This window comes from Homo sapiens, chromosome 2, assembly GCF_000001405.40.
Source record: "Homo sapiens chromosome 2, GRCh38.p14 Primary Assembly".
Classification (NCBI taxonomy): Eukaryota; Metazoa; Chordata; class Mammalia; order Primates; family Hominidae; genus Homo; species Homo sapiens.
Window position 1 is genome coordinate 219090509 of NC_000002.12, and position 15051 is coordinate 219105559.

Genomic DNA, 15051 nt, shown 5'->3' on the forward strand with positions numbered 1-15051 from the left:
AGGATAAGACAGGGTTCACTGCCCTCAAGGAGCTCATAGTCTAGATGAAGAGTGAGACACATAAACAAATAATTGTTCCTCACCTCTAGCCACACACGGGAGCCTTTGATTCCCAGTCAACAGCACTAGGTCTGAGGCCTTACTAAACAAAGCTGGATATGTAAGGAACAGCATGGGGTGGGGACAGCAGTTAACAGACTAACCGTGAATCAACAGTAGGCCCTTCTTTTCCCACAAATAGCCTACAAAAATCTAGATAGGCATAAAGACTTTCTCCTCTGAATTACTACTAAGGGGCCATCTGTGTCCCCCAACCTCTTCAAGTGACTGGTTTCTTCTCATCTTTCAAGTCTCAGTTTAAATGTCACTTCTTCTGGCCTCCTGACCATATCATCTGAAGTGCTTTTACAGCACTCTATTCATTTTCCTCAAGTGATTATACTTTTTAGTTATTCATTTACTCATTTCCTGTCTTCCCCATTAGGCTGTGAGCCCCTAGAGTTCAGGGACCATTCATCTAGCAAATATAAGTATCTACTATGTGCCAGGCACTGAAGTATGTGCTGGGAATTCAGTTTGGGGGTAGAGACATGGCCACTGCCCTCATAGAGCTTACAGTCTGTATCTGTGGAAAAAGTTTTGGGATGCAGGTTTATCCCAATTCCAGCTGAGGACTCTCTTAGGACTAGCCCAGTTAGATAGGAGCCTTTGGCTGCCAATCTCTCACTGAGTTCAAAAAGCCAGAAGCTGAAACTTGGGCGACTTCTCAGTTCTTTTTTCCGCAGTCCTAGATTCCTGTGGAGTTTAAGCTAGGGTAAACAGCATAACCTCAGAGCCATTTCTGCAAGTTCTTTCCTTATAAAGCTATTTCTATCAGCATTCTAAGGGCAAGCATGGTCGGTATCGGGCAAGAAACACATTGGCTGGGGTGGAGGGTGGGGTAGGGCATGGGGATAGGGAGGCAAGAGTCTCCCTAAGTCCTGTAGAGATGAAATGACTGAACTGGAAGTGCTGAGCCCTCAGCGCCTTTCAAATTCTATGCCCTGAATTTCTCAGATGGCTGCTTCCCACAGTCTAAGCTTCTCTACCATTGAGTCTGACTTCGTCCTAAAGGCTACTTCCTGCTAAGCTAGCCTGAGGTCTAGCAATGTTGAATTCGACTCTAGGAAATATATTCTGCTGCAAACTCTCTGAGGAAACGCCAAGGGGACACTGTTTTCCAGGACTGGGAGATAACAAAATTCAAAGGATTGTTGAAAAAGCTTCTTTAAATTTGTTATTAAATGAACAAGGGTATGTGTATATATGAAGTATGTGTGTATATATGAAGTATGTGTGTATATAAAATTAATGAATAAATCTTTGCTTAATAGCAGGAGATAATGTCCTGAGAGCAGAATCCGGGACAAAGTTTCAAGCCACATAAGCAAACAGACCTATTCATTCAAGAACTTTTTACTTGACACCCTCTCTGAGCCAGATTATTCTAGGTACAAAGAAATAAATGACTGATTGTGGGTTTAGCAAAATATGTTCAGTTCTATGATACAGGTCTATGTACAGTCTGCTTTGAGAGAAGAGCAGACCAGCCTGGGCAACATAGTAAGACTCTGTCTCTATAAAAAATGAAAACTTAGCCAGGTGTAGTGAGTGGCACATGCCTATGGTCCCAGCTACTCAGAGGCTAAGAAGGGAGGATTGCTTGAGCCTGGGAGTTCAAGGCTGCAGTGAGCTGTGATTGTGTCACTGCACTCCAGCCTGAGTGACAGAGTGAGACACTGCCTCAAAAAAAAAAAAAAATTATAGGATTACAAAGGAAACCAATTAACTGAAATGTTATTCAAATATTTTAAAACTAATCTGTAATATTATAACATATGAGCTTCTTTATTAACACATTAAATCATGAGATCTAGCAATGAGTCTAATAACCATAATTTCAAGTAGTAATCAGCAAAAGCTGTATTTCAAGATATCTGCAGCAGTATAAAATGATACGAAAGTATCTGTGATTTCTACTGGTGACAGATACTTCTAATATACAGTGTCTTTTGCTTACATTTACAATTGAAGGAAATGCTAAATTTCAGTTACAGGTTAATGAAATAAAGATGCAACTTTCCCTCTCATTCCATTCACGAAACCCTGAACTCACGAACCCAGGGTAAAAACCCCTGCTGTAAAGATGTAAAGGCTCTCATTGGGTAACAGTGGATGCATAATCAGAAAGACCACGTAGAGCCAGTTCAGAGTTAGCAGTAAGGGGAGCCAAAGCCACATGCCAGTCAATGGTCTGCAGGAGTAGAAACAAATTGGCTGTGGGGGGCAGAGATAAGAGATCTTGAGATCCCAGAGAAAGAAGCTGCCTGTCCAGTTTCTGTGAGGCATGGGTAGCCATCTGAAATTAGGTACCAAGAGACCTCCCTGTGCCTATTCAGTAAAACCCGTTTTTACTTAAGCTAATTAAGGGGATTTTTCTGCCTTACAATTAATTGCTGAGATAATACTTTAAACAAAAGTGCTCACTGAAACATGTTTGTAATAGACTATGTATATGTGTGTATATTAACAGCCTTCCAGATGAGAAATTCCTTAATTTATAATCGGTTCAGGGTACGTATACTCTAGATTCTGTAAAGCCCACAGCTGCTGATTTCCATAAACCTGCTGTAGAAGGTACCACTGTCGAATACCTTAGGGAGGAGGGAAAGCCACCTGTCCTCTACATAGAGGGCTACCCTGGCAGGCAGGGCGACTAATCAACAGGTAGACAGTGAACTCGTAGGAGCCAGAGGAAACGGAGCAGGATGAACAATCAGTAAAGAAGTCAGGGCACTATCTGAAACTGTGCATCTTTAGGTTTAAGGAGGCAAGGACAAGAGGGATATATAAATGGCCAGAAGAAGAATCCTAAGCTATCAGAGGTCCTCTTGCAAAATGTGTCTTAAACAGATTTTTGATATTATTGGCAGGGGAAAATTGAGAGGGATAAACTGTGCCCTGAACACAGAATGGTCAGTGCCTAAACTCCCACAAGACAGATGTAGATCTGGGGCCACTTCTGTGGAGAAGGGAACAGAATGACCTTCCAGGCCTCTCCAGCTGCTCTTCCCACTGTTTTTAATACCACTAAGGGCAAACAGGAAAGGAGAAGTGACTGGGAAAGGAACTGAATGTTACTATTAATTAAATGTTTAAAAATGCAGTTGAATAGTGGGTATATAGTGTTTGCTTTATTATATGTTCTATTGTGTGTATTAAATATTTTATAGTAAAAATATTTTAAAAAGACACAGTGAAACCAAATCAAACCAAACACACAAATGGAAAATGAAATTACTTAACACAACATCAGCAGTGACTACTGAAGTCCAAGCACGGAACGTGTGTGGAGGAAATCTCCAGCCTGTGTCAATGCCTGGTCCCACTAGACTCCAAGTTTAAAGATGGGCAAGGATTCTGAGGAGAGGCTCTAGAGAAAAATTAGTAAGTTCTGGATACAAAGTCACTTTCCAGGAAATCAAGACTGGCAGGTTTTGAGGTGAGGAAGTCGAAGGGACAGAAGGTCAACTGCTAGGCTTGAGTTATCGGCCACCAGTTTAACTTAAAAGACTCATTCTCAACAGGGTACCTGCCTAACCCATGGCTGGGGTGGTGATGGAGGGATCTGATCTGATCTAAAATGTTAGGATGACCCTAACATCCAGTGCCTGGGGAAAATTAAGCAGGACTTACTAGCCATTAAAAAGATCCCAGAAAAAGATGGAGGGTAGGGAGAAAAAAAGAACTGGAAATTAAGATATACTTCAATTCAGACCTCCCACTCAGAGCAGGAGTCTGGCAGTACTGTGGAAGCGGAGGTTGTGGCTGGGTGCTGGGAGAAGGGGACTGGAAAAAGAGAGAAGTACGAATCTGCAGAGGAGTCAAGATAGGCTTGATTTGGAAGAAGTTTTCCTAAATGGATATGATCAGGCTTGAGGCTAAGAGCTACTTCCTGAGACTTCTAGTTCCCCGGTTCAGAATCTCTTCATCCCTGTCCTCACTCCTGGCTATAGTCCAGGTACTCTAAAATGCCCAGATCATTTCTAGGTGTAGTACATCTCACACTCTTTTGGATCTAGGTTTCACTAAGCAGGAGAGAATGCCCTGGTTACTCAATTTAGCATTTCCTAACTGATAATCTCTCCACTTCCTTGCAGGAAGTTATAGCTGTGGGTGTAGGATTCCCACTGAGTGTGCTAACCCCCTATCCTCAGGCTCACTTAGGAGGCACAAACAGGCAGCCCTGACACCAGGCTGACCCTACGCAACAGAACAGCACTCCAGGGTTCATCTCCAGGTGAGGGGATGAAGGAAAGACCAAATCTAGGCTCTGGTTACAGGGCATCTTGAACACCTGCTAATAATAAAACATTATCTGTCAAGGCCTTGACCCTCCAAACCACCAAAACAGAGGAAGAGGGTGGGAGAGGAATTTTAGTCCCTCTGATTTTTACCCCAGGTAATAACAACACCCCACTCCATCCCAAAGGCCACTAGCCAGAGTAGAAGAGCACCTAGGAGGATCTAAAGAAAAGACTGACCAAGGTATGTGGAAGACTGTATTGGTCCCATCCTAGAAGGTGGGCAGTGGGTGTGGCTAAGGAAACACTTGGCTAAATCAGCTTTCTTCCTTTCCCACTTCCATTCAGCCTAACTACCGACGTGGCTTTTGTAAGATCTGTGAGACAGTATGTCAGGGAAGACAATGGAAACAAAAGCTTACCATGATAAAAAGAGACCGATGCAGCATGTAGAGTTCTAGGCCAATATGCCGGGTCTCCAGTTTTGATGGGTATATCTTTTAACTGAGAGATGATAAATTATTTAGTTAGTAGTAGTCCTGACTGTTAAAAGATCTCACCATCAAGTTCTTAGCATGTGTTTCTGGGTGATATTGTACAATGCTTTAAACCTAATGGTCACTTAATAGCTGTCTCCTTCCCATATCATTCCCCATATAACTGAAACCTAAGTTAAAGACTCCTTAGCCTCTGCCAACTTCTTGTGGCCAGGCCTGGACTACTTCAAGGAAGCCCTTACCACAGGGATGAGAGCTCACAGCCAATGGGGAGAGCACCATCCATAGCAGGGATTAGTTTCTTGATTAAATTCTTAAGAGCCTAGGATCTAGTTCAGGGAGGAGGGGTATGGGTACTATTATAAATGCAATCAGAGAGCTAAGGGGCAGGTTTCAAAGTACACAGGAAATTCAAAACATTTTCCAGGAGGTAATGAGGAGGACTGAAAGCAGAAAACCAGATAAAAGCTGGCGAAGCAATAAATGTATCCATTTGACAACATCTGAATTGGGCCTAGGTAGAGAAGCTTTAAAAAAAAAACTGGCAAAGGGTAAGAGGCTTGATAAACCAAGATTTAGATTCAGGGAAAGAGGTGGAGACTCATATTAAGGGGCTCCTAGATACAAAGCATTCTACATCATCAAGAAACATTTCCTAAAACTCAACATCAAAGCCCAGAAATCAAGGAATCAAACTTAGAGAGGGCCACTTGGAGAAAGGATACATGGTTTTCTAAGATTTCCTTCTTTCTAAATAATTCAAGGCAGGAGGAAAGTGAGAGGACCTATCTCTTGCTATTTACGTATTTTTTAATTCTTTGAATTTTTATTGTATAAAGTTGATAGAACTTTGCAAGACTAATCCCTCAGGAGAAGAATACTTGAGGACACAGGAGAAAAAGAGTTGGCAATGACCTGGGAAAGATTCTGTAAACATAAAGTGCTGTAGAGATATATGAAATTACTACTCAATTGACTCAGATTTTCAGTCATTTTTGCTCCGCAATCATGCCTAAAAGTAGACAAGTATTAATTCAACAGGTATTTATTGAGGCCCTGCTATGTTCCAGGTACTGTTCTTGGCTACTGAGAAACAAAAGTCAACAGAACATACAAAAATCCCTGCCCTTGAGGAGCTTATATTATAGCAGTCAAACACCATCAATATTACAGTTATGTTAGGAAATGTTCAATGCAATGGGGGAAAAAAAGAGTAGGGTGAAGGATTGGGAATGTAGGGATGAAAAGGTGGGATGCAATTTTAAATAAAGTGATCAGGGTAGGCTTTGATGAGATGACATTTAGCAAAGATTTGACAGTATGGGAATTAGCCTATGGATATCTGGGGCACAAGTGTTGGGAGCAGAGGGCATAAGACAGGAGTGTGCCCAGGGTGTTAAACAAAACAGTAAGGTGACCAATGTAGCTAGAGTGAAGTGAGGGAGACAAAGGTGGTAAGAGATGAGGTCAGAAAGATTATAGGGATCAGGTAAGAAGGGGCCTTGTGAGCCACTGTGACAACTGTTTTTACTTAGAGTAAAATGGAATCCCTTGCAGAGTTCTGAGCAAGGAAGTGGCATGAACTGACTGAGAACTTTAAAGAATCACTCCAGCTTCCAGGTTCAGAAGAGATTATAGACAGTTCCTGGCTTATGATTTTTTTGGCTTTACAATGGTGTGAAAGTGATATGCATTCAGTAGATATTCAGGGATATTCAACATTTCATTATAAAATAGGCTTTGTGTTAGATGATTCTGCCCAACAGAAGGCTAATATAAGTGTTCTGAGCATGCTTAAGATAGGCTAAGCTATAATGTTCTATAGGTTAAGTGTATTCAATACATTTTCAACTTATGATATTTTAAACTTACGATGGGTTTATCAGGATGTAACCCCATCATAAGTCAAGGGACATCTGTATAGGAGAACAAGGATGGAAACCCAGAGACAACTGCAGTCCCCTAAGCAAGAAATGATGGTGGCTCAGACCAAGGTATTAGAGCAGAGGCAGATTCTGTATTTATTTTGAAAGAAGGGCCAATAGAATCTCTTGATGGATTGGATGTGGGGTATGAGAGAAAGACAAGAGTCAAACATGACTCCAAGATTTATTTGTTTCAGACACAGAATCTTGCTATATTGTCCATGCTGGATTCAAACTCCTGGGCTCAAGAGATCCTCCTATCTTGGCCTTCCAAGTAACTGGGACTACCCATGTGCTCCGCTATGTCTGGCTCAACTCCAAGATTTTTAACCTGAGCAAGTCTGAAAGGATGAAGTTGCCATTAACCAAGGAGAAGGCTATGGGATGAGCAGGCTTGATGTGGGGGTTGGGGGTAGGGGAGAAGAAATGAGAAGTTCAATATGAATATGTTGAGTTTGACCTATTAGACTTCCAGGTGGAAATGTTGAACAAGTAGTTGAATATACAAGTCTGGGGTTTGGGAGAAAGAACTGGGCTGAAGATACAGGGATAAAGATGATGTTTAAAGCCATGAGACTGAATGTGATCACCAACAGAGCAAATGTGGGTAGAGAATAGAAGAGGGCCAACGACTGAGCCTTGGAGGTAGTGCAGAAGAGAAGAGATCAGCAAAGAAGATTGTGAAGAAGTAACTGATGAAGCAGAAAATAAAGCCAGGAAAGTGTATTGCTCTGGAAACCAAATGAAAGTATGTCGAGAAGGACTGGGCGACCAACTCTATCAAATGCTGTTTGACCAAATAAGATGAGAGATGAGAACTATTTACTGGATTTTGCAACGAAAAAGTCATTAGTAACCTTTTCAAGAACAATTTCAATGGAGTGATGGGACCCAAAACCCCATTTAAATGGTTTTAAGACAGAACTGGAAGAAAAGGAAGGTAAGATCACAGTAAAAATAGACAACACTTGTAAGGAGTTTTGTAGTGAAGGGGAGTGAAGATGTAGGGTGGTAACTGGTGGGCAAACTGGGGTGTCAGAAGGATTTTTAAGGTGGAAGAATAATAGTACATTTGAATACTAATATAACAATCTTATAGAAAACAAAAACTTAGGGAGAGGAGAATTACCAGAGCAATTTCCTTGATAGGTGAGATAGAATCTAATGCACAAATAGAGAGACAGCCTTTAGACAGAGGCATGGCTACTTTATCTTTGCACACAGGTGGAAAGGCAGTGTCTGAGGGTACATATGTTAGTAGGAAGTAGAAGTATGGTTTAAGTCTGCAAGAGTTCATTTCTGACTGATTCTTCTTTTTTAGGGAAATTTAACTGCCTGGCAGCATTAAGGCTGCATTTGAGAGGCAGGGTCAAGAACTTAAATTGAAACTAGGCAGGCTGGGTGCAGTGGCTCACTCCTGTAATTCCACCACTTTGAGAGGCCGAGGTAGGAGGATTGCTTAAGCCCAGAAGTTCGAGACTAGCCTGGGCAACACAGCGAGAGTCTGTCTCTAAAAAAATTTTTTAAATAAATAAATAAAATGAAGAAACTAGTCAGCATGGTTTTATGTTTTGCTTTCTGACTACATTTGACTGCATAGGTATGGAGGAGGTAGAAAGTTGAGTTTAACTATACACAAGAAATGGGCAATAAAATCAGAAGTGTGTGCAAGGGAGTGATTACAATTGACCATAGATGCTGGGTAAGGAAGGGAGGCAGAATATCACAGGAGTCAGGACAATGAAAAGGAAGGTAAGGTCAATGGGCTGGAGCTCTCTGTAGGATTAAAGGAATGTTGAGTCAAGGTAGAGGAAGAAAGCCGGCAAAACAGGATGGGGATGTGCTCGGAAAGTGGCATGTTTAAAACTGAGAATATGGAGAAGTGCAATGATTGGTGATTACAAGGCCTAGAGCAGACTCTAGAACAGAGCTTCTCAACAGTGGCACTACTGCCACTTTGCGCTGGACAATTCCTCATGCTGGAGGGCTGTCCTGTGCACTACAGGATGTTGAACAGTGTCCCTGGACTCTACTCACTACACCAGATGCCAGTAGCACTTCTCAAGTTATGAGACCCAAAAATGTCTCTGGACCTTGCCAAATGTTCTCTGTGGGCAAAACCTCCCCTTGTTGAGAACCACTGCTCTAGGGTATGTCCAGAGAAGTCACTGAATGAGATAGGGCAAGAGTCAACATAATTAGAGAAGTACTGGAGAAGGCAATAGTGAGTCAGGAGCTAAACTCCTCAAGAAATGAGTAGGAATTACTCAGAGTCAGTGCATTTCATAACAGTGAAGAGTCCTGGGTGATAGGTTCAGATGCATCAGACTCAAAGCTGGGCTTTTTAAAGAAGAGGGAGGAGACATGGTCAGAAACCAGCAATTAGAAATAAGGAAGACGTGCATCCCAGCTCCATACTCACTAGTAAGAGGACTATGAAAGAAGAAACAGCCACCGTGTGAGAGTGCGGCAGAAAAGACATGGGAAAAGGCAGAAAAGACATGGGAAAAGTCTTTAGGGGAAGGCCAGGTTTCTCATCAAGAAGGAGAAAGTAATGCTCGAGGAAGAGACTGAAGATAAAGAAGATTTTGCTGATTATAAACTATGAATTTCAGAAGGTACAATGGTAGGGCCCAGAAACCGGGGAAGGGTAGGAAAAGAGGACAGAATGGGGAAATGCAAGCTGTATTTCTGAAACTGGTAGGTGGCATCCAGTGGGAGGTCCACTGAGGGGAGGGGTGGTATAGTGGAGGCAGATCTTTAATACAGGAGAAGAAGGAAGCCTTCGGTTATTATGGCAAGAAGGTGGACATAAAGTAAGAATCTTCTGGGAACATGGCACATGACATATTCACACAATAGTCAGGAATCACTCTGTAATTACCAACCCTAGGCTAGAACTAGTTTAGAACAAAAAGGATAGTTTTCTAACCTTCAACAGCTTTAATATGAGGAAGTCGACCAAACAGATACAAATCTATCAGGACGTGAGAACAGGGTCTTCGAAGGTCCAGGAGCTAAGGAAACCTTCAAGAATGGTGAAACTTGGCTGTGCATGGTGGCTCACACCTGTAATTTCAGCACTTTGGGAGTCTGAGGCAGGTGGATTGTTTGAGGCCAGGAGTTCGAGACCAGCTTAGCCAACATGGCAAAACTCGATCTCTACTAAAATGCAAAAAAAAAAAAAAATAGCTGGGGATGGTAGTGCACACCTGTAATCCCACCTACTTGGGAGACTGAGGCATGAGAATCATTTGAATCCAGGAGTCAGAGGTTGCAGCGAGCTGAGATTGTGCCACTGAACTCCAGCCTGGGCGACAGAATAAGACTGTCTTTAAAAAAAAAAAAAAAAAAGCAGCAATGAAATATGACTAAGAATACAGAGAATCTGATCTAGTGCTTATACACGCTGGAAGAGAATTAGAATGCAGATTCCCACAGGGACCAAGAATCCCACCAAGCCAGACAGGGTTGAGGAAAGTAATCTGGACCCACGAAGCTAACCAACTGAGCTAAGAAGTAGCAAAGAACTCTATCAAGATAAAGAATTGGTGCTGGGAAAATTCATCCATTCATATTTCTTCCTCTATGGGCATTTTACAAAATTATTTTTTAAATACTAATCAATGTAAACACTATAGATGTATATAAATAAAAGACTTCTACTCTTTAACTCCAATCCCCCCCTCAGAGGAAACCACTGTGAACAATTTGATGTGTATCCTCCCAGACTTTTTTTCTATTTGGTATAAACATCCCAAATGGGATCACATTACATATATTCTTATGCATTTTGCCTTTTTTGGGTAACAGTGTATCATGGCTATCTTTTCAAGGCTATTTATTTACTTATTTATTGGGGATGGAGTCTTGCTCTGTTGCCCAGGCTGGAGTGCAGTGGTACCATCTTGGCTCACTGCAACCTCTGCCTCCCGGGTTCAAGCAATTATCGTGCCTCAGCCTCCTGAGTAGCTGGGATTACAGGCGCGTACCACCACATCTAGCTAATTTTTGTATTTTTAGTAGAGATGGCATTTTGCCATGTTGGCCAGGCTGGTCTCAAACTCCTGACCTCAGGTGATCTGCTTGCCTTGGCCTCCCAAAGTGCTGGAATTACAGGGGTGAGCCACCGCGCCCGGCCTATTTATTTATTTTTGTGACAGGGTCTTGCTCAGCTGCCAGGCTGAAATGCAGTGGTGGGATCATAGCTCACTGCAGCGTCAAACTCCTGGGCTCAAGCAATCCTCCCATCTCAGCCTCTTGAGTAGCTGGGACTACAGGAACTTGCCACTGTGCTTGGCTAACTTTTTAATTTTTTGTAGAGATGGAGTCTCGCTATGTTTCCCAGGCTGGTCTTGAACTCCGGGCCTCAAGTGATCTTCCTGCCTCGGCCTCCCAAAGTGCTGGGATTACAGGCCTCAGCCACCGCACCCGAACTACCTCATTCTTTTTTTTTTTTTTTTGAGACAGAGTCTTGCTCTGTCGCCAGGCTGGCAGGCTGGAGTGCAGTGGCGCGATCTCAGCTCACCGCAACTTCTGCCTCCCGGGTTCAAGCAATTCCCCTGCCTCAGCCTCCCAAGTAGCTGAGATTACAGGCATGTGCCACCACGTCCAGCTAATTTTTTGTATTTTAGCGGAGATGGCGTTTCACCATGTTGGCCAAGATGGTCTCGATCTCCTGACCTCGTGATCCGCCCGCCTCGGCTTCCCAAAGTGCTGGAATTACAGGCGTAAGCCACCGCACCCAGCCCTCATTCTTTTTAATGGCTTCATTGTATTATATTATATGGATAAGCCGTAATTTAGTCATATTTCCATAATGATGGACTTTTAAACCGTTTCCAATTTTCTGTATTATAAACAATGTTGCTGGTGTTTTTGCATGTTTAATAATTTTATAGAGTACATTCCCACTGGCTAGATTAAAGGATATATTTGACACTGCCAAAAAAACGCCCTCGAAAAATGTACTAATATACCTTCCAACCAAAATTGCATAAAGTACCCAATTCCTCATACTCTAGTCAAAGCTGTAATAATCTTCATTTTTGCCAACTAATAGGAGAAGATCAACTCATTCTTGTTTTAATGTGAACTCTTTTTTTGGTTTTCTATATTTTAGTGGCAGGGGATATTTCAGTTTAAGAATACTGAAAACTTGCTGGGTGCAGCGTGTGCCTGTAGTTCCAGATACCAGGAGGCTGAGGCAGGAGGATCGCTTGAGCCCAGGAGTTCTAGGCTGTAGTGCGCTACGCCAATCAGGTGTCCGCACTAAGTTCAGCATCAGTATGGTGACTCCTGGGAACGGGCGACCACCAGATTGCCTAAGGAAGGGTGAACCAACACAGGTTGTTAACAGAGCAGGTCAAAACTCCCATGCTGATTAGTAGTAGGATTGTGCCTGTGAATAGCTACTGCACTCTAGCCTGGGCAACATAAAAAAAAAAAAGCTGGGCACAGTGGCTCATGCCTGTAATCCCAGCACTTTGGGAGGCCAACACAGGCAGATCACTTGAGGTCAGGAGTTCAAGATCAGCCTGGCCAACATGGTGAAACCCCGTCTCTACTAAAAATACAAAAAATTAGCCGGGCGTAGTGGCGGGCGCCTGTAGTCCCAGCTACTTGGGAGGCTGAGGCAGGAGAATGGCGTGAACCCGGGAGGCGGAGCTTGCAGTGAGCCGAGATCCCGCCACTGCACTCCAGCCTGGGCGACAGAGCGAGACTCCGTCTCAAAAAAAAAAAAAAAAAAAAAAAAAAATTAGCCAGGCGTGGTGGTGGGTGCCTGTAATCCCAGCTACTTGGGAGGATGAGGCAGGAGAATCTCTTGAACCTGGGAGGCAGAGTTTGCAATGAGCTGAGATCACACCATTGCACTCTTTATAAAAAAAAGCAAAAACGGGAAAAAAAAAAAAACTGAAAACTGTTTTCAGATTAGGTTATATGCATAAACATTGAACCAAGAGGATACTATTTTTATTTATTTATTTATTTTTAACTTTTTTATTTTTTCTTTTTTCTTTGAGACAGAGTCTTGCTCTGTCGCCCAGGCTGGAATGCAGTGGCGCCATGTAGGCTCACTGCAACCTCTGCCTCCCGGGTTCAAGCGATTCTCCTGTCTCAGACTCCCAAGTAGCTGGGACTACAGGCACACACCAGAATACCTGGCTAATTTTTGTATTTTTAGTAGAGATGAGGTTTCACCATGTTGGCCAGGATGGTCTCCATCTCCTGACCTCAAGTGATCCGTCCGCCTCGGCCTCCCAAAGTGCTGGGATTACAGGCGTGAGCCACCATGCCTGACCACCATTTTTTTTAAAAACAAAATGACTGCTAAATGGAAAGAAACCTAAGAATAACAACATTACACATATAACTAATACTTTCAAATGCTTCTAATGTGCCAGACACTATGAAAAGCACTCAAGTATATCTCATTGAGCTCTCACAACTCTAAAGAGAACATTATCCCTATTTTACACCAAAATAAACTGGAGCCAGGTAGGTTAAGTAAGTTTCTCAAAGTCACACAGCTAGTAACTAAGTAGAGCCAGGTTTCAACTCAGATCACCAGACTCTGGAGTCCCCATTTAGACCAAAGTCAGCTCAACTGAAGTCAAAGAGCTAGCAAGTGGTACAGTCAGGATTCAAACCCAGGTTTGCCTAACTCTAGAGCACACATATGTAAGGTGTTTAATAGAATTTATATTATCTGTATGAATAATGTTATGATAGTGTTGGGAAGAACTTATTCTTACCCAAACATTTTTTTTTGGTTCTGGTTTTGTTTTTTTTTGTTTGTTTGTTTTGTTTTGTCTCAGGTTTAAAAAACAAAATGACATTGCCTTGGTTGAACAAAGTCAGGGTCACCGCACTGCATGAATCCAGGAGCATCCTACTTTATGAGAATGGAACTCACTGGAGCTGTGCCATGCACAACCTGCAGGGCCAAACATGGTGGCCCCAGGACCAGGTACAGACTGAAGGAAAAAGGGGATTTCTGCCTGCAACTATGCCAAAAGAGCTAAGGGAAACAGTGTGTCCCCTAGTGGTTGAGAACAGTATTGACAGCTGCAAATGTCTAGCTAGAGAGCTCCAGAACTGACAGAATTAGGGTAGTTGCTGCAGTGAGATCAGCACACATGAAAACTTTAATCGCTGCTCTCTCTACCCAGGGTGTTCCCTTACAAGAGGGTGCAAGATCTATCAAGGCTACTCTTTGAAGAATCAGAGGTTCCCTAGGAAACAAAGGGGAATAGAGGAGAAGTATCACCCAAAACTTAAGTCTCAAGAATAAGATGCCTACATAATAAACGAAGAGAACAACTTTTACTACATGACAGAAGGTGGTAGAGAAAGAGGGATATACATAAATAGACTCAAGACTAGATAATCAATGCTGGAAACTTCGCAGTAATCTTCCAAAAGGCACCCCCCCACACACACAAAAAAGAAGAAACCACTAGAAAATTAAGAAAACCTTGAAAATGTTCTCAAGAGGGAAAATGATGCTAAAAGAAACCCAGATGTGGTGAATATAAAATGAATGGAATTTTGGACTCATTCCTACTGTCAGCCTCTCTTAGAATTGAGGCAAAGGCAATTGCAGACTTGGGAAGAAAGGCTTAACTTGACCAAATTAAAATGGCCTAAAGCCATGAAGAGACCATGGGTAAAACAGAAACACACATCAGCTGGGGTGGCAGGCAAGAACTCAGATGTATCACAGGAACTCAGGGAAATGAAAAGGACTCACCAAGGTAAACCTGATTATAGTTGAGTGCTGTCACTGCTTGATTGAGAGGGGGATATTCTGGTTAAACACATCTTCTAGTTTAGTATTTACCATTTGTTCTGTAAGTAGATTACTAATTTTCAAATAATTAGAAAGTATATTATAAAATAAAAATAACACACCTCATAATCTTCCAGTAACATAGGGTGTTAATCAGAAGTATCAACTGTCACTATAGTCTAAGGTTTGTGCAGAATCTGGTCTGTTATTGACTTGTCAAAGATATTTCTAAGAAGAAATATCTAGAAAGATGTAGGTGGCACCAGATTTCCACTGGCCAGACAGGAAAGAGACTTTTTTTAGTTCAAAGAACTTGTACAGTAAGACATGTGGTTAATTATCACAGCAATGGGACAGAAGGGAAACCCTGCCACATCCATTTTGACAGCTCACTAGACTGCAAGCTCTATGAGAACAAGGACTTTGCTTTGGTCGCTGCTCTGCCACTGCCTCTAGAACAGTGACTGGCACATAGGAGGTGTTCACGAAGTATT

General features: G+C 42.4%; 1 protein-coding gene and 1 pseudogene across 4 annotated transcripts in view; one reads left to right on the plus strand and one right to left on the minus strand.

The window, feature by feature from the left end:
- Positions 1 to 15051, minus strand: part of NHEJ1 (non-homologous end joining factor 1) — a 91459-nt gene that overhangs the window by 21152 nt on the left and 55256 nt on the right. Inside the window, exon 6 of one of the 4 annotated variants that reach the window (NR_165304.1) lies at positions 4766 to 4847. The exons of the other annotated variants lie outside the window; for them this stretch is intronic. The gene's annotated coding sequence lies outside the window, so the exon portion shown is untranslated. The remainder of the gene's footprint in view (positions 1 to 4765; positions 4848 to 15051) is intronic. 4 annotated transcript variants of the gene reach the window in all.
- On the plus strand, positions 11926 to 12211 carry RN7SL764P (RNA, 7SL, cytoplasmic 764, pseudogene; annotated as a pseudogene).